This window comes from Homo sapiens, chromosome 2 (genome assembly GCF_000001405.40).
Source record: "Homo sapiens chromosome 2, GRCh38.p14 Primary Assembly".
Classification (NCBI taxonomy): Eukaryota; Metazoa; Chordata; class Mammalia; order Primates; family Hominidae; genus Homo; species Homo sapiens.
Genome location: NC_000002.12, coordinates 140,265,705 through 140,289,468, shown reverse-complemented (window position 1 = coordinate 140,289,468; position 23,764 = coordinate 140,265,705). Strand labels below are relative to the sequence as shown.

Here is a 23,764-nt window from a genome sequence, read left to right as displayed (position 1 = left end):
AATTAACTCATTCAACTGATATGTATTAAACAACATTAAATATCATTCATTGCTCTAGGCATTGGGGATTTATCAGTATAAAAGTTTTTTGAAGACACTTGGCTTGTATAACTTTGATGAATAGAAAAACAACTGATGTATCTTTTTAGAGTAAAAGTTAGATAAAGCGGACTTCGAATTGTATAGTCAAAAATGATAAAAGATCAGAAATGGACTTTATTTCATACTACTTAGAAGCATACCATTATTTTTCACATAATTGTTTGAAATTTCAGCAGCATGTTTATAAAATTAAACTATTGATAAACTTTTATCTGTACACCACGGAACTTGCCCTTGAAATATTAGTAATTATATTTAGTAATTTTGGTGAGCACTACTGAATAAAAAAATTTTAAGAATGCTTAATTACTCTTGTTGGCATCATAGCAGGAACTTTTTTCCATGCCAGCTTCACCTGATATTGAGACAACTCTAATCTCACAATGCTTCACCTTTACTCAGGCCAAGGTGGTTTAATCTTCTACTTTTATGCCATGTTAGCATTATAGACATGTTTTGACCCTTCTTTTTACAATGTAAGGAAGAGTACATATACAAAGCAGTGTAAAGACAATGAAAGGCATCTCAAAGTCACTTAGTTGTAGGTTGAAAAATGATATGTCTCACAGCTAACAGTAACCTTTTAATGGATTTGTATTTAAATATCTGTTGGGAAATCTGTCCCTGAAAAAAAAACAATGCATGGCTTTTCATGAATAGAAGCCATGACTGTGATTCTGCTATACTTGGTGTTAAGTAAACTGCATGGATTCACAAATAATTACCTGAAAACAAAATTGAGTACTTAAAACAATGTAGCACATAAATTATGTAGAGACATGCAGACTAAACAAAAATATTTATTTGAGGCTTGCCTCAAATCAAATTGTTGCTAGTTAAATGCGTCTGCTAACATCACTTTTAAAAGTTCAAATGTAAATTTAAGAGTAACTTTTAAACGTGGTTATTTATATCAAATTTGGAATGTCTACTACTAAACATGCTTTGAAAAAATGCTGAGTCAGAAATCTTTAAATGCTTTAAAGAGAAGAAATTAAATTCCTTTCTTATAGATAATATGATAACCTTTATGTTTAACTATTAAAGATTTAATCACTACAAACTGGTATTATGAGTCTGTTTTATATAAAAGATATAACCTCTTTTGTAGCTATACTGCTAGAAACATTTGGTATTTATCCTTATTATAGATAAGAATGGCAAAAGAGACTATGAGTCAGTATGTCATTGTCAGCTGTCAAGGAAAAAAAAAAATCCCCAAATTTTAAATGTATATGTTCTGAGTCCAAGGGTATAAAGATGAGAGAAAGGAGGAAAGATTTATAATTTACTCTATGGTCGTATAGCCTATCATCAAATAAAGAATATATAATAGCAGAAATAGAAAACAATATATGAAATAGTGCATTTAATTTCATTTTTATAGATGCAAAAATACATCATAAATCTGATTAAATAAATGTAGACATTTTTTAATCCACTACATTTTCCAAATAAAGTGAAAGTTCCAACAAATAAAAGCAAAGTTAAATTAAAATGTAACGTCATGCCAGAGACAGACAATAATTTTTCACAATATAGATCCTCCATAATATGAAAATAACCTATTAAGAGAAAAACCAGTGTAGCAGGGGTTGCTTCACAGAATCAGATACACCTTAAGTACAGAGCACCATGGGAATAGGAAGCCACTTAGTCTGTAATAGTGCTAGATTAGTTCAAAGGTCAAGTGACTACATTTGGATTTTTTTTTTTTTTTTTTTTACTTGCAATATCCCTTGAAGATCCATGTCTAAACCCATGGTAATAATATGATCTAAATTTCAGTTTGACAAAACAATTTGTATTTTATTAGTTTTGAGAACTTGGAAGATTTATAATGATGATCTCAGAGCAACCTTTCCTTGAAAATCAACTGACAGAAATGAATCAACTTATTGGCAGAAACAAATAAATTCAGATGGATAGGACGACATAATGAATGGCACCTGATTTAACTGATTTCTCGATTAACATCTCAGGACAAGAATTAAGGTCATTTCTGTGGTACCTCTAGACCATGAAGAACTAGAATTAAGCTAGTATTTTTCAACTCCAGATTTCATTGCTCCTTACATTAGAAAGTAGTGTAGGATTCTGATTTTTTTAGGTTCTGACCTTTTTGATCAGATCCCCTATCTAAACCTAAATAAATAAATAAAATGTTTTAAAACAATTTCAGTGGATTTTTGAATTTTGTTGGATGTATAGTCTGAGTTCACACTCCTAGAATATGTCAAATGAGAATCTAGATTTGTTGAAGAAATGCTAGGTTTTAGAGGTGAAGATGCAGAATTAAAATATTCTTTTTTAATCGTGTAAAACTATCTGAAGTAAATATATATGAACTAACAAACAGTATTCTATAACTTTGGTTTCTCAAACTATTATTTTCATCATCACAGGTGACAGTTACACTATCTGTAAAAAAAAGTTAATATTTCCTAAAATTGTAAGTTTAAAGTGCGATAATCTATAAGAAAAGTCTTCTGTAAATTGTAAAATTAATGCAGATATTTATTTTTATAATTTTCATTTTAATAGATACTTTGAGTGCTTATGATGATAATATATATACATAAGGTTATATATATTTAGGTATATAATTTAGATAATGAAAATAAACATTAATTTTATAGCATCAGATGCTTCACTTCATAATTTCTAAAATGATACATGAATTTAGAATGAACTTTTGCATTGAGTCATTGAAAGTAAGTAGATCAGAACACTGACGAAAATAGTTTTATGACTGGGCTTACTTCCATGCACAGATTAGATTATGACCACTGGAAGCTGAAAAGTTTAGTCTAATTCTGTGGCATGCCATATTTCTGGGAATTTGGCAAGTCACATTTTTATTCATATGGCATGTCTAGAGTGGCCAATAGTTGGTTCACTGATCCAGCATCTGAGTGTCTGTTTTATGTTGGCACTGGATGTCCAAGGGCTCTCTCATTGGCACTTGATGGCATCTGTCTTTGCTTCCCAAGTGATTTTCCTTTCCAGTCTCCCTCTTTTACTCCTCCATCTGAACACAAACCCATGCTGGCAAACTTCGGTTAGTTTCAGAATAGGACGAACCAGCCTTGGATGATCCAATATTTATAAAAATTTATAACTTGCTTAGGGGTTTTAAAGCTAAACAATCAGCAGTATTACTCTTGTTCTCTGCCTTCCATAGTGCCCTGCTTTCCAAGGGGAAGCGCTCATTTATTAATTCAACAAATATTAGTAGAGCATCTACTGTGTGCCAGCCACTGAGGCTTGGGATTTTATTATGAATAAAACAGAAAACTGCTCTTATTGTACTGTTTTATTTATAAAGAATATGCAAACATGTTATATGTCAGGTAGTGAGACTAGAGATTATGAAAAGTAAAGAAGTATAATTAAGAATCTAACCACTTCCTGAATAAAGAGAAAGGTCAGAGGCTTCAAAAGCAAAAACACATTACTTACTATATCATATAGTTTCTCACTGCACTATCTTCATGTACACTATACACAATGAAAGAGTAATGACTGAATCCCTTCTCCTTAAGGGCAGAACAATTTATGAGGATGATTTTTAAAAATAGTCTTTCTAAATAAAAGTATCTGGGATTAGTATTTTATTGATTAATTACAGTGATTGAATGCATATTTCTAATCTTGTTAAAGGTTAAATGCTATTAACAATGTAATTAAAGTGATTTTCTGAAACCTTTGAATTATTATGAAAGTCTTAGTACAGAGGGAACCTGATTATTACATATCAATAAATTGTTTGTTTATACATATCTGACCTAAAGAAATGGCACAGTTAACCAGGGGATCCTTGCTAGTTTGTATATATTATTCTGCCAGGTGACCTTTTCAAGGTGACTCTCAATATTTTAGTGAATTCTGATTAAATAATAATCACTTCTACATAATCTGTTTTTCTTCTTGCTATCACACCAGTGTAGAAATATCTCTCTCTCTGTGTGTATATATATATATGTGTGTATATATATGTATGTGTATATATGTACACATATATACATATGTATGTGTATATGTGTGTGTATGTATATATACACACCTATCTATATATATCTTGCTATCACACAATATAGAAATTTCTCTATGTATATATATGTGTAGATACATATACCTATCTATATCTCTATCCATAGATATCCATATATAGATATAGATGTAGATATGTATATGTATCTACACACACATATATACATGTGTATCTACACACACACATATATATACACACACATATATATATAGAGAGAGAGATATAGGGATTATCCATATATAAATATATAGATAGGTATATAGATATCCATATATATATATATATACACACACACACACAGAGAGATATCTAGGTATATGGATATGAACATCTAGGTACATATAGAGATAGATATCTAGTTATACAGAGTTATATATAGATATCTAGGTATATCTAGGTATATAGGTATATAGATATCCATATATAGATATAGATAGATATATACATAGAGATTTCTACACTGGGGTGGTAGCAAGATATATGTATAGAGAGACAAATATACATCTATCTTTATCATCCCTCTATTTATCTATCATCTAACTTTTCACTCATATTTTTGGTTGCATTGTAACATTGAAAAAAAAAACTAGAAGCAAAGTACATTTATGTATATCAGAAATCGTTGCTTCAACTATAGATTTGAAGTGGGTAGCTTGAAAGAAGGAAGAAAATAAGGATGGAAGGATATAAAAGAGATAGAAAGAAAGGAGGAAAGAATGAAAAAGGAAACAGGAAGGGAAAGATAAAATTAGGAACTGTATGGGTGTGTATAAGATGGTGTTGTATTCTCTCACTATGATGAGGTGAGATGTTGCCTGCCCTCCAGTTAGGCTACATACAACATGATGACAATAACTTTCCTCATGATGCTCTCATCTGAGATAGAAATCTTTTTCATGATTACCTCCTATCCAGCTTTATCCACCATGCATTTCTCCATGAATTCCTTTCCAGTTTTCGAAAATTGAGTCATTACTTTGCACTCTGAAAAACGGTTTTTTTTTGGGGGGGAGGGGGGGAAGCCATGTATTTGTTAATGAAAATCTAGTATTGATAATTGTTTTCAACTATGTTAGCCTTTAGGATTCTATCAGAATTTAAGCACTCTGGAGGCATGTAAAATATTAACACTGTAGATACTAACACAGTATATGTTAATTAATTGTATCAGGCTGAAATTAATTGAACCTTAATACATACTCAGTGTCTTGATAGAGAAATTAGGGCCTAAATATGGCAAATGGCTTGTTTATGGCTGTGGAGGCGTGGCCTATATTTGCACGCTTCATTTCCATTCTTTTTTCAGGCCTTCATATGCTTATTCACTTATTTGGGTTTCAGTTAGCCTCATCTGATAAGCCATATTTAGCTGTCATCTGCAACTCAGCTTGCTCACAAGTCTCAGATGACTTTACCATTTACAGTTACTTGCTAAAATCTTTTATAGCTGGACTACTTTAAAAATAAAGAACTACTCAACCCAAAACACTGTTTATAAACAAAAATTATGAATACCTCCTATAAGTTTGTCTCATTAAAACATTGTTATGATAGCTCTATGAGTTGATTTTTGACTATTTTGAAAACTATTGATGCCATCATTGTTAATATGCATTTTACAATGGCAGTTTGTCAAAAATTTAAATGCTGATACTTTAAAAATCCCACCCCATATGTCACTCACTCAAATCAAATTTTTGATAATTTGGCTGAGTTTTACATTTTCCATCTCCCTGGACACTTAGAGATGTCACTGATCAAGATGATTTTATTCTTTAATTTTCAAAATTCCTTTATATAGAAATATTTGGAATACATTACTATTTTCATTAGTATAATAGAAAGTGGTATTTCCTTAGGCATGCTTTCATGATGAAAATTTATCATTTCTAATCAGAGTTTTGCAGGCATTTTTTCCTCAGTGAATATTTAATTGGCATACCTGGATTTAATGTTTGCCTACTTTATTAAACACAGCTCTGACTTTGGAAGGTATATTTAGCACTATGCACTAAAGTTTAATTATTAAAAATCTTAGGCTGTGTAAAACATTTGAGGAATGTAAAAAAGGATAAATCCCAATATTAAGTCTTTTTAAATTCTATCTCCTGATTTAATTCTTCAAAGACATAAAATTCTATACAAATTGTATACAATGTATACAAGTTACTCTATGTGTTTTGACTCCTAAGCCATGCTAGATGAAAAACTGACACTCATCTGCTATGTATCTCTAGGTAATGAAAGTCCACAATTGCTCTTATTAACATATTTAAGAATTATAAAACTTTTCCAGAAAACCTTTCAAATGTCCTCATCCGAAATTAGATGTAAGTAAATGATAATGCTGTAGGTATGTCTTACTTTGTGATTTCTCGGCTATTATTTTGGTTTCTTATTTGCTTAGAGTGACCCAGAGTTGATCATGTCTGATAATGAATAGATCACCTTGATGGTTGGGTGTTTTCTACAAGTGTGAGAATCCCATGCTTTGAACCAACTATCCATAGATAGAGAGACAAACATCTAACTTGGATTGGAATGAGAGACTGCAGTGGATAACATCTGACATTTGAACCTTCAGCTCAGGTGTGAGAATGCCAGCTTGTGTCCCTGAGCTTTGAGATTATAGGCTGTGTCATTATCGTGCAGACTTCTTGTGGGTCTGCTGCCTTTGCTGCTACAGGATCCTTTAATATTCCAACTGCTGGGTAGGTCCTAAGATGTCCACAGAGATGGGATACTTTCCATTTTAAATACACAGAAAGGAAAGAGAACAGCAAAGATATTCAAATCACTTTGTAGATTTGTTTTCCTGAACGTATTTATGAATCACTAAATATGAAAAATAAGAGTTTATCCTCTAGAGTTAGGCCTATTTGGATTTGAAGTTCTGTTCTACCTCTTGTTTGTGTGCAAGCCTTGGCAATTGCTTAACCTCTATGTGCATCAGTTTATTTATCTATAAAAAGAGGGTAACACCATCTAATGCCTCTGACTATACCAAAAACCCATGTGCCTGGCATGTAGGAGACACTGAAAAATGAGTGTTTATCAACATCGTAATTATCATTTACATCATTTTACTAAAAGAAGGTGCTAAACCTAGATAGAGGGCACCATTGGAAATTGGTGGGTGAGGAAGGAATCATGACATAATCTTGGGCATGATTTAATGTAACTGCCTCAGTTCAAAGATGGCCAAAGGATATCTTGGAGAACTTAATCAGGAAACTCAGGTGAGGTCATATTGTTAGACCGAGGAAGGACTGGACTTAGGCTTCCAGTACCTCAAATTCTGGCCATTTTTTTTTCTTTTCCTTATTATCTCATCCCAGTATAAGTATTCATCAAAAGTTTATAAAATTATATTGTTGGTTGCTCTGGAAATTCTACATTTCATACAGATATGGAAGCAACCATAAACCACTCTGCAGGGATAATATCAGCAGAATTCATAGGATCTACTGCCTCTGGGACACAATTAAATATAACAGTGAAGGTGGAATATAAATTGCACGGAAACTGGCTCCTCAGTTACAGAATGCCTGGGGATATGCACTGTGAAATTTACCTAGTCTTTGTGATGGTAATTCCATCCTACTTTTAATTTGTTGTTGGTTTGTGTGTGTGAATGCAGCCTTAAATTATCAAATGCATACTTAAATGATGAATATAAAACCATTTCACAAAATTTATTTTTAAAGGCCAGATTAAAATTCAGTGAAGTAGAACAATAAGTGTCCATTCATAAAATGCAATAATATTAATGTCTAATTCTCATATAGTTTCTCCTATATGATCATTCTGTATTAGCCATTAAAGGCTCTCCAGTTTCTTATTATCCTTATATGGTATCTTCATACCCTGCTTAGCTGATATTAGTTTATTTTGATTTTCTTCTCTTTAAATTTCACACTTCACTAATTATTACAATGTGAATAGCCCAGTTGCAAATATGAGTAAATAGCTAAATAGTTTTGGCAATTACTTTTCTATAGAAAAATATTAGGGAAATAAGTTAAATGCAGTTATAGATTGTATAGCTATATGGCTTTCCATAAATATTTGTAAACCTGTGCATTTGCACATACACGCACATATTTTTATGTAGAGTCTATTACTGTGAAAAGATTAAAGGAAAATATATTTACTTGTATTTCTGGTTACATGAAAAGAAACATTAAAAGAGAAAGAAAAAGAGAGAGTGTGCAATAATGATCTCCCTTGAAAATTACTTTACTTCTGTGGCAGACATTAGCCATTCATTTATTCTTCAGTTACTATCTACCTAATTACCATATGAATACTCTGTAATTACATATTCATCATTGTCCTTTAGATTACATTATTGTGTTTGGTGCTACTAGGTAGTTCTTAGTGTAATTACCCTAACAGAGGTTATAAAAATTTTTATATTGTGAATATAAAGGGTTGTGTAAGTTCATGGTTCACTCTACTTTCTTAGAACAGATTAGTTACATTTCATTATTATTCCTTCTTACCATATATAGACTATCTCGTCTGTTATGCCATTCAGGTCAGTAAAATGCTCAAAACTTATGAGATGGAATGCTCAATAGGAAGGAAGACATTACTTTGGGTAGTAATAAGTTTAGGCTTTTGCCACAGTAACCATTTAGATCAATGTTGGGTCCTTTTTTCTTCTTGCTTTAACCTTATGATTGACTTGTCAGTTATCTCAGAGCTAGTGTCCCATCATGCATTTCTGAGCTCTTTCCAGGGTTCCTAGTATACAATAAGGCACATACATGTCCACAGCAAATAATCAATTATGAATTCATCCTTTCCATTTTATATTTATAGCCAAATTACACATCGTTCATAAGATGATTAACTGTACAGTTCATAAATCGACTGTTTCTACTGACCAATGTACCTAGACTCATCTTGTCTTCAACCACTCTTTTCTATCTTGAATCCCTTCTTTATACCACCCCCCACAACAACAAAATCTTTTATCTATATTTTTCTTCTAAAACTGTCATTTTCCATCTATCACTATTTCCAACTTTATTTTAGTGCTACTAATTACTAAGCTGAATTTCAAATTTGAACAACAAATTTCACATACAAATTTGTGTGTGAAAGTGGAGTGTGAGTTGAGTGGTTGTGTATCTGTATTAGAAAGTAGAAGGCCATCCTTTGCTGCCTACTGTCTCCTTTATTTTTGGGGAAATTACTAAGTTTTTCATTTAGATTTGCCTACTTCTCCATATTCACTAACATTTCACTTAGCAAAAGTGAAATATAAAAAATAAATCCGAAGGCTATAAAACTTCAACAAAGGTAAGTTCATACAAATAATTGATCCTCTTAGTGATAAATGATTAGTAAAATATCAATACATTTTACTTAAGAAAATATGTATCTATCTTTTATAAAGGCTACTTTCAAAATGGTTTTAAAGTATTTTTGGTGCTTAAAGTAGTCACCTCGATGGGATCATTAATATTTTTAGTGCTGTGGTATAAAAAATAAAATGGTGTTTATTTAGTAACTATTAAGTTTCTCTATTTTTCTTCAGAGCTTATAGATCAGTAAAGTAACCTTTAGAACCAAAGTAAACAATTACATACTGAAGAAGCCTTCTCATATACTATTCTTCATACTTTGCTAAATTAGTAAGCCAGTTTCCACTGGGCTAAGTACCAATGAAGTATTCATTTTATTAGATAAATAGCTGAACTGATACTTGGAATTTAAATATGAGTGTGTAGTAATTATGTGAGAGTATATAGAGAGGTGACACTGATGAAAATATGGCACATATTTATACAAGTTTACATAGATGCTTGTAATTCTAAGTGCATTATAGATGTGAAGGGAGTGAGAGAAAAATTAAACTGGCATTCTTATGATTTATTAACATTGCAGATATTACTCTGAGTCAATTACAGAAAACCTGGGCTTTGTTTGAATCACCCAGTTTAGAAATAGACAACACCATCAGATGTTTCAAACTCTTTCCTGGACTTGCACATAGCATGCACCGTGATAACACTTGAAATAACAGAGGACACTTGAAGAGATTATTTTGCTTTACAATTTACAAGTATCCAATGATTGCATCGTAGCTAAAATATCAGATGCTAAAGTCTATTATTAAGATCTGCTTTCTCCTGTGTTCAGGAGTCTTGGAGTGGGAAATGAGTAAATAGTAAAGCCTTTAAGACAAGAAAGAAAGAGAGAAAGAGAGAGAGTGGAGAGGGAAGGAGGCAAGAGAAAGGGACAAAGACATTACATAAACGTCGAAGAATAGGCCCTAGAATCCTAACCGGGGTGCAGAACACAGTCCAGTCAAACATCTAACTCAGCAGCTTCCACATGCTTCAAATATTAAGCCAAATAACTGGAGATAGAAGATTTTCACAGAAAGGCAATGGGAGGCAACTCTGCCAGGGCTGGAGTGTAGTGAGCAACTCTTTGCCCCTGAATTTCAACTCAGCATGGAGTGTTAAGAATGAGAACTGGGAGAAATGAAATGTCTTCCCATTTGAATATCTGTAGAGAAAGGGTTCAGAGCATAAAATGATTTCTGCCATTTTTAGAGGGGAAAAAATGGCATGGCTTAAAAACATGCAATTTAGAATTATTTATTAAAGTGTAAATTCTAATATTTGCTTATTTCCCAATTTTATCATAAGCAAACCTTTCTTTTACAGTCTTGGATTCCATTTTTATGCCATGAGGCCAATCAACTGCATTGAATAATGCGCATCTGACATGCTATGAAAAAAAATTGGACGCATTAAAGAGTGAAGGATTTTCTGTAAAGCATAAAAAGTGAACCATGAATTCCTTTTAAAAGTTGTCCCTACAAAGAGAAAAACTATTTAGCCTAGTTAGCGAAATAAATGAGAATTTCTAAAACATTCTAAGGTTGCTTATGTGCCTTTTATTAAAAAGAAAAAGCATTCTCTGTTGAAGTGTAATATACACAGAAAAGTTTAAAAATCACAAGTAAACAGTTCAATTAAATATTACAAGGTGTACACATCAGTTTAAACCAGCATTCAAGAAAAACATTATCAGCACTGCAAAAGTTCCCTCATGTTATTCATCACTCTCCTTTCTCCTCTCCTGTAAGATAAATCCTTCTTGACTTCTAAAACCATAGATTCAACTTAACTTTTGAACCTTATATAAATATAAAAATGTAGTATACATATTTTGTGTCTATTTTTCTCAATTTTTGTGAGATTCATCCATATTTTTGCTTACAGCTGCATTTTGTGTGTGTGTGTGTGTGTGTTTGTATATGTGCATTTTATTGTATAAATGAAACATAGTTTATCCATTCTTGGGACAGACATTTGGATTTCTTAAAATTTGGGCTTTTTAAAATATTGCTGTGCATATTATGTGTATGTTTCTTGACATACATGTGCATGCTTTTCTTTTGGGTATATGTTAATAGTGGAAGTGCTAGGTCATAAGGTGTGCGTATGCTGAAACTTAGGAGATATTGCCAACCGTTTTCCAAATTGGTTGCACCAACATTCTCTCCCACGAGTAGTAGTAGATGAGAGTTTCCACTATTATTGTATTATCAGTCTGGTGGGTGTGTATCGGTATTTCATTGAAGTGTTAATTTAATTTTCATCTCCTTGATTGCTAGTGAGTTATGTACAGGCGCTCATCTTTTCATTTTATTTTTTATTATTTATTTATTTATTTAGAGATAGAGTTTCACTCTTGTTGCCCAGGCTGGAGTTTACACTCCAATGTCACGTGACTCCAATGTCACAATCTTGGCTCACTGAAACCTCTGCCTCCTGGGTTCAAGCGATTCTCCTGCCTCAGCTTCCTGAACAGCTGGCATTACAGGTGCCCACCACCACATCCAGCTAATTTTTTGTATTTTTAGTAGAGAGGGGGTTTCACCATATTTGCTAGGCTGGTCTCGAACTCCTGACCTCAGATGATCCACCCACCTCAGCCTCCCAAAGTGCTGGAATTACAGGTGTGAGCTACCGCACCCAGCCCATCTTTTTAATCTTAATCTAAGATTTAATTTATGCACAAAATTACTTATAATTAGCATACTGCAGATAAGTTTTTAACTTTGACCTTTAGTACTTTAAGTTAAATGCAAACTACTCTTTGCTGGAGTGTGGTCCTGGACATTCATCAACCTCCAGAATATTAATCCATTTTTTTCTAGTTATTTGGGTCTTTTCAGGGGTATAGTTATAAAAAAAAAGCGCTTCAAAATTTTACATGAAAAATTACATTTTAATTTTGGTTTTCAATGTTAGTTAATAAATAAGCTATTTTGGTCAAATCAAATCTATTTACAAGTATTAGACAATGTAGTCTCTTTGCCAACTAGTAAAATTCTCTCCAGATCATCATTTCTTACATTTTCTAGTTCCCATGGGAACTACCTGGGCCCCATTTCAGACCTATGAATTATAATCTAGGAGTGGGTGGCAGGGAACGGCACTGGAATTTTCATCTGCAAATAAGTTCCCTATATGATTCTATAATTAATTATATCCACCATGGCAACCTTTGAATAATGACATAGTAAAAAAATGTTGCAAAGAAACATCACTAGACTTCTATGTCTCATCAGACAGCTAATCAGCCCCAGTGGATGAAATTTTAAAGCAGTTGGGGACAATATTAAAAGAGCTTTTTATGAGTTAGAGGTATCTTGCAACCTGCCTAAAGAAGGTTGTTCTTCAGAGGTTTCTGCATTGAATGGGAGGCTGTCCTGGATGATCACATAGACTGCTGTTGATATACTCTTCATAAATAAAAACAGCATTTGTGTTGTGTATATATACCCTCCAAGCCTAGAACAACTACAGAAACCATAATGTATGGCTACTAACACTATGTTAAATTTCAGATCTCCAACTCTCTTACCTTTTGAAAGTGCTATATGTCTTAAATATAGCCAAAACCCGTATTAATAGGCTTCAACCCTAAATCTCAATGAAGGTACCTGGCACAGTGCAACAGCAAGCATGGGAATGCTTGAAATAAATTTCCATAAATATGAAGCAAGTCTGTCAATAAATTTAATTTGTCTGATTTAATAAAGGGCTAGATAAACATAAACATGAGAATTATAAATTATGTTTTAATTTTTCTTACCCATTATAATTGTCAATATAGCAGGATGAAGTTTATAAATTGTGATTTTTATCTCAGCTAATCTCATTTAATATTGCTTCACAATTAAATAGGTAAAAGGAAACTGCATTTTCTAAACACAAAGTCTGGAATCAATTTAATCAATTATTTTGCATAGGATCATTTATATTATTAATTTCAATATTTAAGTGTGATAAATTATAATATATTCATATATAAAAACAGACATGATTGCTTTTCAAAAGACAGAAGCAGAATGTCTAATTCTATTGTTAGAGTGGTTGTTATATTATTAAATAGTCTTTGTTTCATTATGCATGTTCAAGGGGTATAGAAATATTTGGGTGAAGTGTTCCTTCCTAGTTGAGAAAATCGTCTGTGACGCTCAATGAGAAATGGCCTTCAAAACAATAGGTTCAGATTACAGGGAGTTTCGTGACTGATGGGAAGATTAGTCTCTTACCTTAGAAAAGGATAATAGCCTAGATTTCTGTTATTATTCCCCATGAATGATGGATCAGTTAGTCTCCCAGTTTGCTTTCCTCTCCGAGTTCCATGAGAGGCATAACTCGTTGTTTGCTCACCTGCTCAGGCATGCAGAAAATACCTGGGTTTGTTCTGCTACGTGTACAGGGAAGCTTCTTTCCACAACACTAAAGTCTGGTGCAGGGGTATGAGTCCTCTGCTCACCACATGTGGCTGACTGCCACTTTGACTACTTGAGACCGTCATTACAGCAGTTACTACTGTTAGTGATTGAGACCGTCATTACAAGACTGAATGAAGGGACAAACTTAGAAATGAAAACTTAAGACAAAAGAAACTGCTTTAAGGAAAGGGCCAGGGGAAGAAGAAGAGAGCTCTCTGCTTCTAGTGAGCAAAGGCAACTGCCGAGCTTCTACAGCCCTTCCTATTTATTGGGTAACAAGAGCAGGTAGACTGCTTAATTGATCACAGGTTTGTATTGTTACTGACAGGCTTCAATTATACCTAATCATAAGAAACATTTGTGCCTGGATCATTGACTGCTCTCAGCAGTCCTTCTGGGTGGCATACACAGTTTGTTGGTTTGACAATGTTCTGCATTAATGAGAAAGTTTGTGGCTTACTCATATAGCCTCCAGTGCTATACCGATGTAATCACGACCCTCATTCTTTCGGCGTCCAACAACCAAACATTACTCTGTTCTCTAGATGAAAAGAGGTGTGAAGGAGGCAACAATAAATGACATCCAAAGAAATGTTAAGCATTTCTGTTCATTTCAAACTATACTTACGTTGTTCATTAGAAAGAAAGCTAAGGGAACTTGTTAACTTAAGCTTTAATATTCAGAACCAAAAGAGTTTGTCACCTAGCATTATAGCAATATAAGCTCTCTTAGCCAGAGGAAAATGATGCCTAATTCAAAGAGGAGAATCAATAGCATTATTAAAGAATTCTACTTCATGTGTAATTATAAGCTGCTTTTGTAAATTAATCTACCTATTATTTTTAAGTAATAAATGAAAGGGTCACCTTAATTATGACTGAAGAAAAATGTCCTGTAATATAATTTTATTTTTCTGTTGTGCCTTTTTTTCCTAGACGTGTGCCACCACTATTGTGTGAATTCTGAATCATGTACCATTGGGGATGATGGAAGTGTTGAATGTGTCTGTCCAACGCGCTATGAAGGACCAAAATGTGAGGTTGACAAGTGTGTAAGGTGCCATGGGGGGCACTGCATTATAAATAAAGACAGTGAAGATATATTTTGCAAGTAAGTGGACACCCAGCTTAATTTATAAAAGCATTTGGACACCAATGGACATTGCAGTTCAGTAATAAATAGTAAAAACTTTGTAGATTGTTTTTATTCTAAAATTCCGTATTGTGCCCATTGCAGTTTTTATGATTAGAGAGTAAGTCTAGTTCACTTTAATTTGACCTGAACTTATTCAACATCTATTGTGAATATCTAGAAATTATGAAAATCCATTATGTAATAAGACGGTCATATCATTCCCTATACCAAATATTCCTGAGTAAGCAAGAAATGCTGGCATTCAGCATACTTTCAAAAACTACATGTAATATTATTCAATTAGATTAGCTCAGGCTGTTAATTGTTTCATCATTGTTATTGACAATAAGTAGGTTTGCTTTTCTGTTGCAAATTGATTTGTTGAAGGAGGAGCAAAAGACCTGTCTAATGAAAACACACATTAATCCTTTTTTCTTAATCTGACTTTGAACATTATGATCAAAGCAAACAGAAGGAATAATGTGTTCTGGGAAATAAGTAAAACAAAAATCTTCGAGTTTGACTTTCATTGCACTGCCTTTTGCTCTTTGGCTTTAAGATTAAGTGAATGGAAAACAGAACATTGCGGCTAAAGGGTTGTGCCATTCAGTTTCTATCGTGAAACCAGTTTATGCCACTGAGGTTAGAGATCAATCCTCACTCCAGACCTCTTTTAATAGCTTTTTAAAGGAAGGGCTTATAAAGAACTGGACTCTATCACTTGCCTTGCTTGGGAGTATAATAAATAAGAATATGAGACAGGAAAGCATGCCATAAAGTGTCCATGTCACAGCTTCCGCTGAGAGCTCACCAAGGGTGCCGAATGAGTTATGTTGCTCTGCCAAACAAGGCCCAATAAAATTTGATTGCAAAGAGCATCAACATTTTTTTATTTACTCTCATTTTAGAATTTAAATATGATTTGTATTATCATTATGAATGACATTTACGCAAACCTGCAAAATTGGGATATTTGAAAGTACATTTTTTAGTAAAGTAATTGAAAATATGACTGATATATAACTATGTGCCTTTGATAAGTACATAAAAGTGAAACATGCGTCCAAATCATGTTTCCTCATAAAGCTCATTTGTTCTTTGTGATGAAACTGTAGCATGACAGAACTGTATTTCAATTAGTGAGCGTACATTGTTCTCTATGTCTTGTGCACCATATCAGGATAAGCTGTGGAATCTTCTTTACAACTCCATTCCACTTACCCCAGAGATCATGGGCTGAGATCTCTGGGGTAATCCGAGATCACATCTGAGAAATGGTGTGAGCCAAAGTTTCCTACCCATTTTACCTTGGAAAAGCTCATGTGGAGATGCAGACCCTCTTCCCTTTATGTAAGGAAGAAAGGGCAGGGATCAGGGTCCCTCAGTATCGCTTGCTATACAGTCAAAAGTCCCTTCTCCAAAACAGAAACACCAGATTCTCACAATGAGCAGGCTATTGAGGTGCAACATAAGAGTTTGTGTTTTTTAAATGATCTTTTTGGAAATGTATATATAAAAATGGATAAATAACAATTGCTAACAATGAGGAGATAGTGGAACTTTTAAACTAGGAATATAATACTTGATTTATTAAATAGGCTATAACACTTGAACATGACAATACAAACATAATTCTTTGGATTTTCTGAAACATGTTAGATGATTAAAGTTCATTTTTATTTCTATGATACTTTTCACATTAGCATTAAAATGAAGTTAGTGATGTTAGAATTTCTGTTTTATAGGTAAAGAACAGATAGTAAAACAAAATTGCAATAAAGTTAATCATTTTTACTTAATTAGGAAAATTCAAGCCATCAAGTATATTTGTTATTACAAATAGGCAGTTGTGTTTCTAATACACAGCCTATGAACTGTTAAGTAGAACAGGTACTCTATCAAGTACAGTGAGTATAATCTTTAAAACAGAGCCAATTGCATATTTTTCTCTTTTCTGGAAATCAAAGTGAATACTGGTGAAGAAAGACTTGATCATAATCTTGAATAACCTAAATTATGTCTTTTTGATGACCATTGTCATGGGAACTATTTGTATGGACTGAATAACTAGTAATTAACTTTTGGAAAGTGATACATCACATATTCTGTGTGTGTGTGTGTGTGTGTGTGTGTGTGTGTGTTTGTGTGTGCACATACGCTGAATGCCTCTAAAAAAGAAAATTATGAAAATTTACTTTAAAATATGAGCTGCACTCTTTGATGTATTGTAATGATTTTAACTATTTGTATTTCACATTTAAAATGTCTACAAATTTCTGTCTTCAACTTAGGATTCAAACACAAACTTTAGAGGGAAAAAGAGGCAACATCTTTTGTATCCATTGGAAACACAGGTTTAAAAGCAATCAGGTTTTTTTGTCTTTTAGATGATGAGATTTGATAAACAGTTATCTTTTTTTTGTAGAAAATCATTTAATGTATAATGAGCTAATTTTCCCTTTTGAGGCTGTTCCTTTGATAAAACAAGAAACTATAATTTTTTGACTTTATTATTTTCAAAGAGGCTGGGCATGGAGGACAAGTAAAAGTCCCTCAGATGCACTTAGTCTATTAGACACCAATACCACTGATTGCTAATTAATTCACTGCATCCATATTAGGGTGCCTCTATAGGTTATAAAGGATGGGATAGTCTCTGTACAAACTTGAGACCACCCACTCCTTCTCTATGTCTTGTTCTGTTTACCTGTATCTTTATTTCACATCTTGTACATAGTTACACTGCTCACTGCTCCTGTTTACCTTGAAAAGAAATGTGATTTCACAAACTAAGCTTTTCAGAAACATCTTCAAATTAAACACCAATTAATGTTAAAAGCAGTTGAGGGCATTTCCAGTAGCTACACAACCCACATGAGGTCAAATAAACATGCACAGAATAAATGAACTACATGTCAACCGATTATTTTTAGGCATCTCACCTATCATTAGGAATCACCCTATGACAGATGTACTGCAATAGATATCCATCATGGGGAGGATCAAAGTGATCAATCGATATTGTAGCCTGATTTTTTTGTCAAGGTTATGTCCAGATGCACTGTGATACCATTGATTGTTTCATAGCAGCTAATACTGGTGTGACCACATGATCAGAATTGCCAGCATGATCTGTTGTTAATTCTGGTTTTGACCCACAGAGTAGGTCCCGGGATAATTTGAAATGTTGATGCACATTTCTGCATTCACTCAACAGTTTTCACTGTCCAATCTAATTATTTGTTTATTTAAAAAAATGTAACATGGCAAGTAAAAAATGTCTGCGTTTTTCCCAGTATTGTTATGTTTATTTTTACAGTGTAGCAGTAGCTATTTATTCTTGTCCCTAACCTGTGATGCGACTTTAACTTAGAAACATTTGGTAAGTTTTTCAAGAAAGCCTGTCTCATTACTTTGTTGCCATATTGCACATTGTTCCTATAACATAACTGTTTTTTTATGAACTACTCCATGATTTTTTTATGTTAGAATAAAAATAGTTTGACATTAGTTACAGTACATACTCAAAGAGAAACAGTGGGATAAAAGTGGCTACAGGATAACCCTCCACTTTCTTATGAAATGTGGGGTCTAAAAGTCTTAGCATTCTTTGAAACAGATTTTCCACTTTAGAAGAAAAGCTAAAGCACGTTTTTCCAGAGTACTTGATCATGTGGTTTATCATTCACACAGATGTCACCAAACCCTACTTACATGAAAAAGGAACAAGATACTGATGCTAATGTCTCCCAGAAGTGTAAATGATAGATATTAGAGTATATTTTTTCACACATATATCTAGCTGTATAAAATGTTTATATTAAATGAACTGGTTGAAAATTTGAGAATTATCAGAAGAAAAATTTTATGACATCATTCTGACATAAATTAAACTGCCTCTAGTGAGTCAGACTTCCTGAAAACTTCCTTTTAACCAGCCACTCCATCTCTCCTATATGATGAATATTCTCATCCACAGAGAGTTTATGTCAGCTTTCAGCAATAATGTTGCCAATAACAATGAAATTGTTCTTTTTTTCTTTGTTGTTGCAGCTGCACTAATGGAAAGATTGCCTCTAGCTGTCAGTTATGTGATGGCTACTGTTACAATGGTGGCACATGCCAGCTGGACCCCGAGACAAATGTACCTGTGTGTCTGTGAGTATTTAATCAAGTCATGGGCATCTTATAATAAGCCTTTGTATGTACATGAAATCCCTGTTCTATTATTCTCCTTTTCTGGGGTAATTTTAAATGAGTGTTTCATGGACATCTCTGATCAAGTATTGTCCCTCATCAGCTCATGTGCTGCAGAATCTCCTTTCATCAAATTGCTAATGATTTCATGAGGAAGAGCTCATTCTGTTCTCAGCATCGTACCATTTCAGACATGCATAGACCTTTGAACTTGCAAATGCCAGAGAAAATTGTTATAATTTTATTGACCTGATTCTGATATGTGAAGCCCAGAGATAATCATCTTTTATGAATACTTTGGTACTTATGGCCATTTTTTTTCACAAGAACTTGTAATATTCTTTCATATGTATAATGCTAGTTGATGTTTGTATGAGACTTAGACTGTTTTATTATGTAAACCTATTAAGCCCCTGGCTCCTTTAGAATAACTTGAGTGTCTGAGTTTCTCAACACCTAGGAAACGTATTGGGTATATTCACAGTACTCCTGAGAAAATCTGGAATTTAGTATTTTCCCCCCTCCATGATCTGATTGTCCAGAGTGGACAATTTGAAATAAAATTATTCAGATTACATGGTCACTGTTGTGAGTTTCATCACTGTTTGACCAAAAGGATGATGCCCACATATAACCCACATCTGCATCCTGCTCCCGACCTTGTCAGAGTAGCATGTGATGAGTGTGTTTGAGAGAGAAGTGCGCATATCTGGGAACCTTTTCGTTTGAATGTTACTATCTCTGTATGAAATGAATTTAAAACATATTTGGCAAAACAAGTCAGACGCTTTATTTAGCTGTATTTTACTGAAATTCTGCAGATGCTCTGTGGGGTTTAAAAGTCAGCGCTGTGACCAGAAAGAGAACCCTTGTGATCACTACTGTCAGAATGAGGGGATTTGCACTTTAACTGCGTTTAATGAGCCGAGATGCAAGTAGGTTTAAACTTCCACTTATCGCTGCGCTTCGTGTGACATCATTTCAGGCCACAGTTCATTGGTTTAAATCATGAACATCCACATGCATTTCACAGAGTATACTTAATCTCGGGGCTCATCTGTGTCATACACACTTAACCTTTGCTTCACTCACCAACAAGTGTGTGCACCACAGACTGCTAGAGTGTCCAGAAATATAACAGAGAAAATGAAAAAGCTTGTGGAACTGTCTAATAAAAATACATTTGCTAGAAAATAGTAGCTTTTAATTAGAGAAGTACAGAAGCAGGTGTTTTAAGAGTACTTCCATATGCTATATTTGGAATAATTTTTATTTAGTAACTGACTTTTGATTTCAAGCACAGATGAAGCGCTCTATTTTGTTTCCCAAAATTTTACCGAGAACTGCCCTACCTTCATCAGTAAGACCTCTTTATAGATGAAAGATCTTAGAGTAAGACCTTTTTTACAGTCTGAAAAATTTCCAGAAATTTTATTTCTTAATAGTTTAAGTCATTCTTTCTTGATTCAGTTTGTGGTGTTTTGAACATATATGCAATAGTAAACTCATATCTCCTCTGAGAAATTTCCAGGATCACCTTTAGGGTAACTGTCAATGTTCATGACAATGGAAATTATTTTTGCATTGTGCATTTGAGCTTTAGAGATCGATCACATCTGGCATATACTCCTTAATAACCAGTGTCATAATGAGTAGCCCTGATTGGAATCTGATAACTTCTGGTAATCTCAAAGTGCCTAATAGTGGTTTTAAAGCACAGTTGTATTAAAATTCAGATATTTTATTACCAAAATGCTACTATTTTATTCATAATGAGTTGCTGAGACTTGAGGCAGAGGCTTGAGCTGAAGGAGTTTTGTTGTGAAGGTGATACTTGTTGGCATGTAAAGGAAAGTCTTGCAGATCACCTACAGGGACTCTACATCAAAAGGTTTGACCACACTTCAAGTAACAAGTGATGAGGGCTTGAACTTGGGCATTGCAACCAGAGAAAAGAATGAAGAGAACAATAGATTCATTAACATTTCAGAGTTAGTATACCTAAGGTTCTCCTTGACCAAAAATGGATTCAGGTACCTATTTTATTTCTATTTTAGAACACCAGTAAGGCTTCTCCTGAATCCCAGTCTTCATTTGTCCTGCCCCTGTCTCACTAATTCTGGGCAAAATATATCCATTTCAGGCCCACCTTTCCCACCCATAAATAGGTCTCAGGAGGACTCCCTGTGCAGAGAATGTACCTGTATTACCAGAATAAAAATCTCTCATGGGTGTAGCAGCCCACGTTGATTTTTTTTTCCACTTTTTGCTCTTACCAAGTATCATCAAAATCATACAATTTAAAAATGATAATTGGCCTATCTGATAAACACAACCAGGAAAAAATATGTTAATTGTGGTAGTTTAGAGCAACCTCTCCTACTTTTGTGTACTTATGTCTCTATCTCTGTTTGTATGTGGCTCTTTAGAAATGTGTGTACCTTGGTCTTCTATGCCTTAAAATCTATTTTGATAGTGGGCATAATGTGTATACAATCAGCCCTCTATATCCCCACACTCCACATTCGTGGGTTCAACCAAGTGCAAATCAGAAGTATTTGGAAATAAAAATTGTGTCTGTGCTGACCCCGTACAGACTTTTCTCAAGTTTGTACAGGCTCAGCACGGACACAATTTTTCTGTACAGACTTTTCCCAAGTCGTTATTCTCTAAACAATACAGTAAAACAACTATTTACATAGCATTTACATTGTGTTAGGTATTATAAATAATCTGGAGATGATTTAAAAATATAGGGGAGGGTGTGCATAGCTTATATGCAAACACAATGCCATATTTTTTATCTGGGACTTGAGCATCTAAGGATTTTGGTATCCTAGGAAAGTCTTGGAACCAGTTCCCCACAGATACTGAAGATGACTATACTGCATTCCTCACCCAGTTAAACCATATAAGAAGCAAGGAAGAATTACGCTGTTATTGTTTATTCATCAATTCCTTTACTAAATATTTAGTAATAATCTGAGTCTCTATAAATTTTTGAAGACAATTAATTAATAGCAGCTAAAACTGACCTAATAAATACTCTGTACCACTTACTGTGTTAAACCCTTCACATATTTTATGTGTGAAGTTAGACTGTTACACATAAGTAGTATTATTATCTAATTGTTATTCCCTTTTCATAGATTACAACATTAAGGTCACACACTAGGAAGGGGTGGATGTCTGAGACTCAGACCAGTCCTGTTCAATTCTAAAGTGCGTACCCTGGTTATAACTCTTACACTGCATTGCAGTCTTTATGCTGTAACAACCTCAAGAGTTTTTACTTTAGAGGAACTTAAAATTCATTTTAGGAAGATGAATGGCTTTTAGAAAATTAAAATATCATTTGCTAATTATTATAATAGAAATACAACCAAAGTGCTCTGGGAAAACAATTAAATAGAGATCAATGAATGATTCCTGTGGGAGAGTGGGAGGCTTTATACGTGAAGAGACATGTTCACAGTATTTTTAGAAAACATATTGTAGTTTTATAGGAAAGAAAGGGTTGAACATCTTTTTTCAAAAGAGGGTACAGCACAATCAAAGGAGAATAGGTCTAAAAATAAAAGGCCAAGGTAGCTGAGAATAGAAAAAGGTTATATGCACAACAGGAGAAGAGAAGGCTAAAGAGATATATTGGGGACAGTTTATTAGGTACATTTTATACCATGACACAAGAGTGGGTTTATAGAAAGAGGATTAGGAAATGAAGGTTGGAACCCTCAGAAATACCACTATTTGGGTACTATCTCAAGCAGGAATCAACAAAAGTAAATGAGAAGATTTAGAAGTTGAGGGAGATTTACTGAAGAGTAGATTCCTACAAATCAAAGGAGTAGAGTGCCAATGAGTATCAACTCCAGACAGTTCAAAGAGGACAAGTGTTATAAGTGGTTTATTGGATTTCTCAGTTAGGTGGCCATTGTGAAAGATGTTTTGGAAGCACTATAGAGATAGAAACCAGACTACAGTTAATTAATCAAAAGGAGAAGAAGTAGAGAAAAATGTAGATTCTTTTCTGAAAACTTGGTTATGAATTAAACAAAAAAAAACAGTAAGTAGGATCTAGAGGAAAATATTTTTATGACAAGAAAGACTAATGTATTTAAGAAGACTATTTTGCACTATTCAAGGCCTGCTATTAGGGCCTGGGAAGGAGAGAGAGATGGTTCAGGAGGATTTCACAGTCATGTTCCTCAGATTTGAAGTTTCCAGAATATGTAAGATTATGCTTGTTTTACCTAGGATATTTATAAATCACATGGTACTAAAATGTAAATGACTATAAGTAAAATTAAAAATAAAGTGTCAATGATCCCTGGACAATAAAAAAGTCCAGCTAAGGGAACATGAAACCCTCAGAATATCTTTCTAGTGGTCAATTCTCCTCACCAGAGGAGACTTTTGGAAATAGTTTTTAGTCACGGATCTCAATTGGCAGTGGTCATGTATTGTTAATGAAAAGTAAGTATGTACTATTTCATCT

General features: G+C 33.6%; 1 protein-coding gene across 3 annotated transcripts in view; it reads left to right on the top strand.

The window, feature by feature from the left end:
* Positions 1–23,764, top strand: part of LRP1B (LDL receptor related protein 1B) — a 1,899,594-nt gene that overhangs the window by 1,841,548 nt on the left and 34,282 nt on the right. For all 3 annotated transcript variants that reach the window (NM_018557.3, XM_017004341.2, XM_017004342.1), the window contains 2 exons: positions 14,871–15,045; positions 19,123–19,227. In NM_018557.3, coding sequence (NP_061027.2) covers positions 14,871–15,045; positions 19,123–19,227 — 280 coding nt within the window. The remainder of the gene's footprint in view (positions 1–14,870; positions 15,046–19,122; positions 19,228–23,764) is intronic.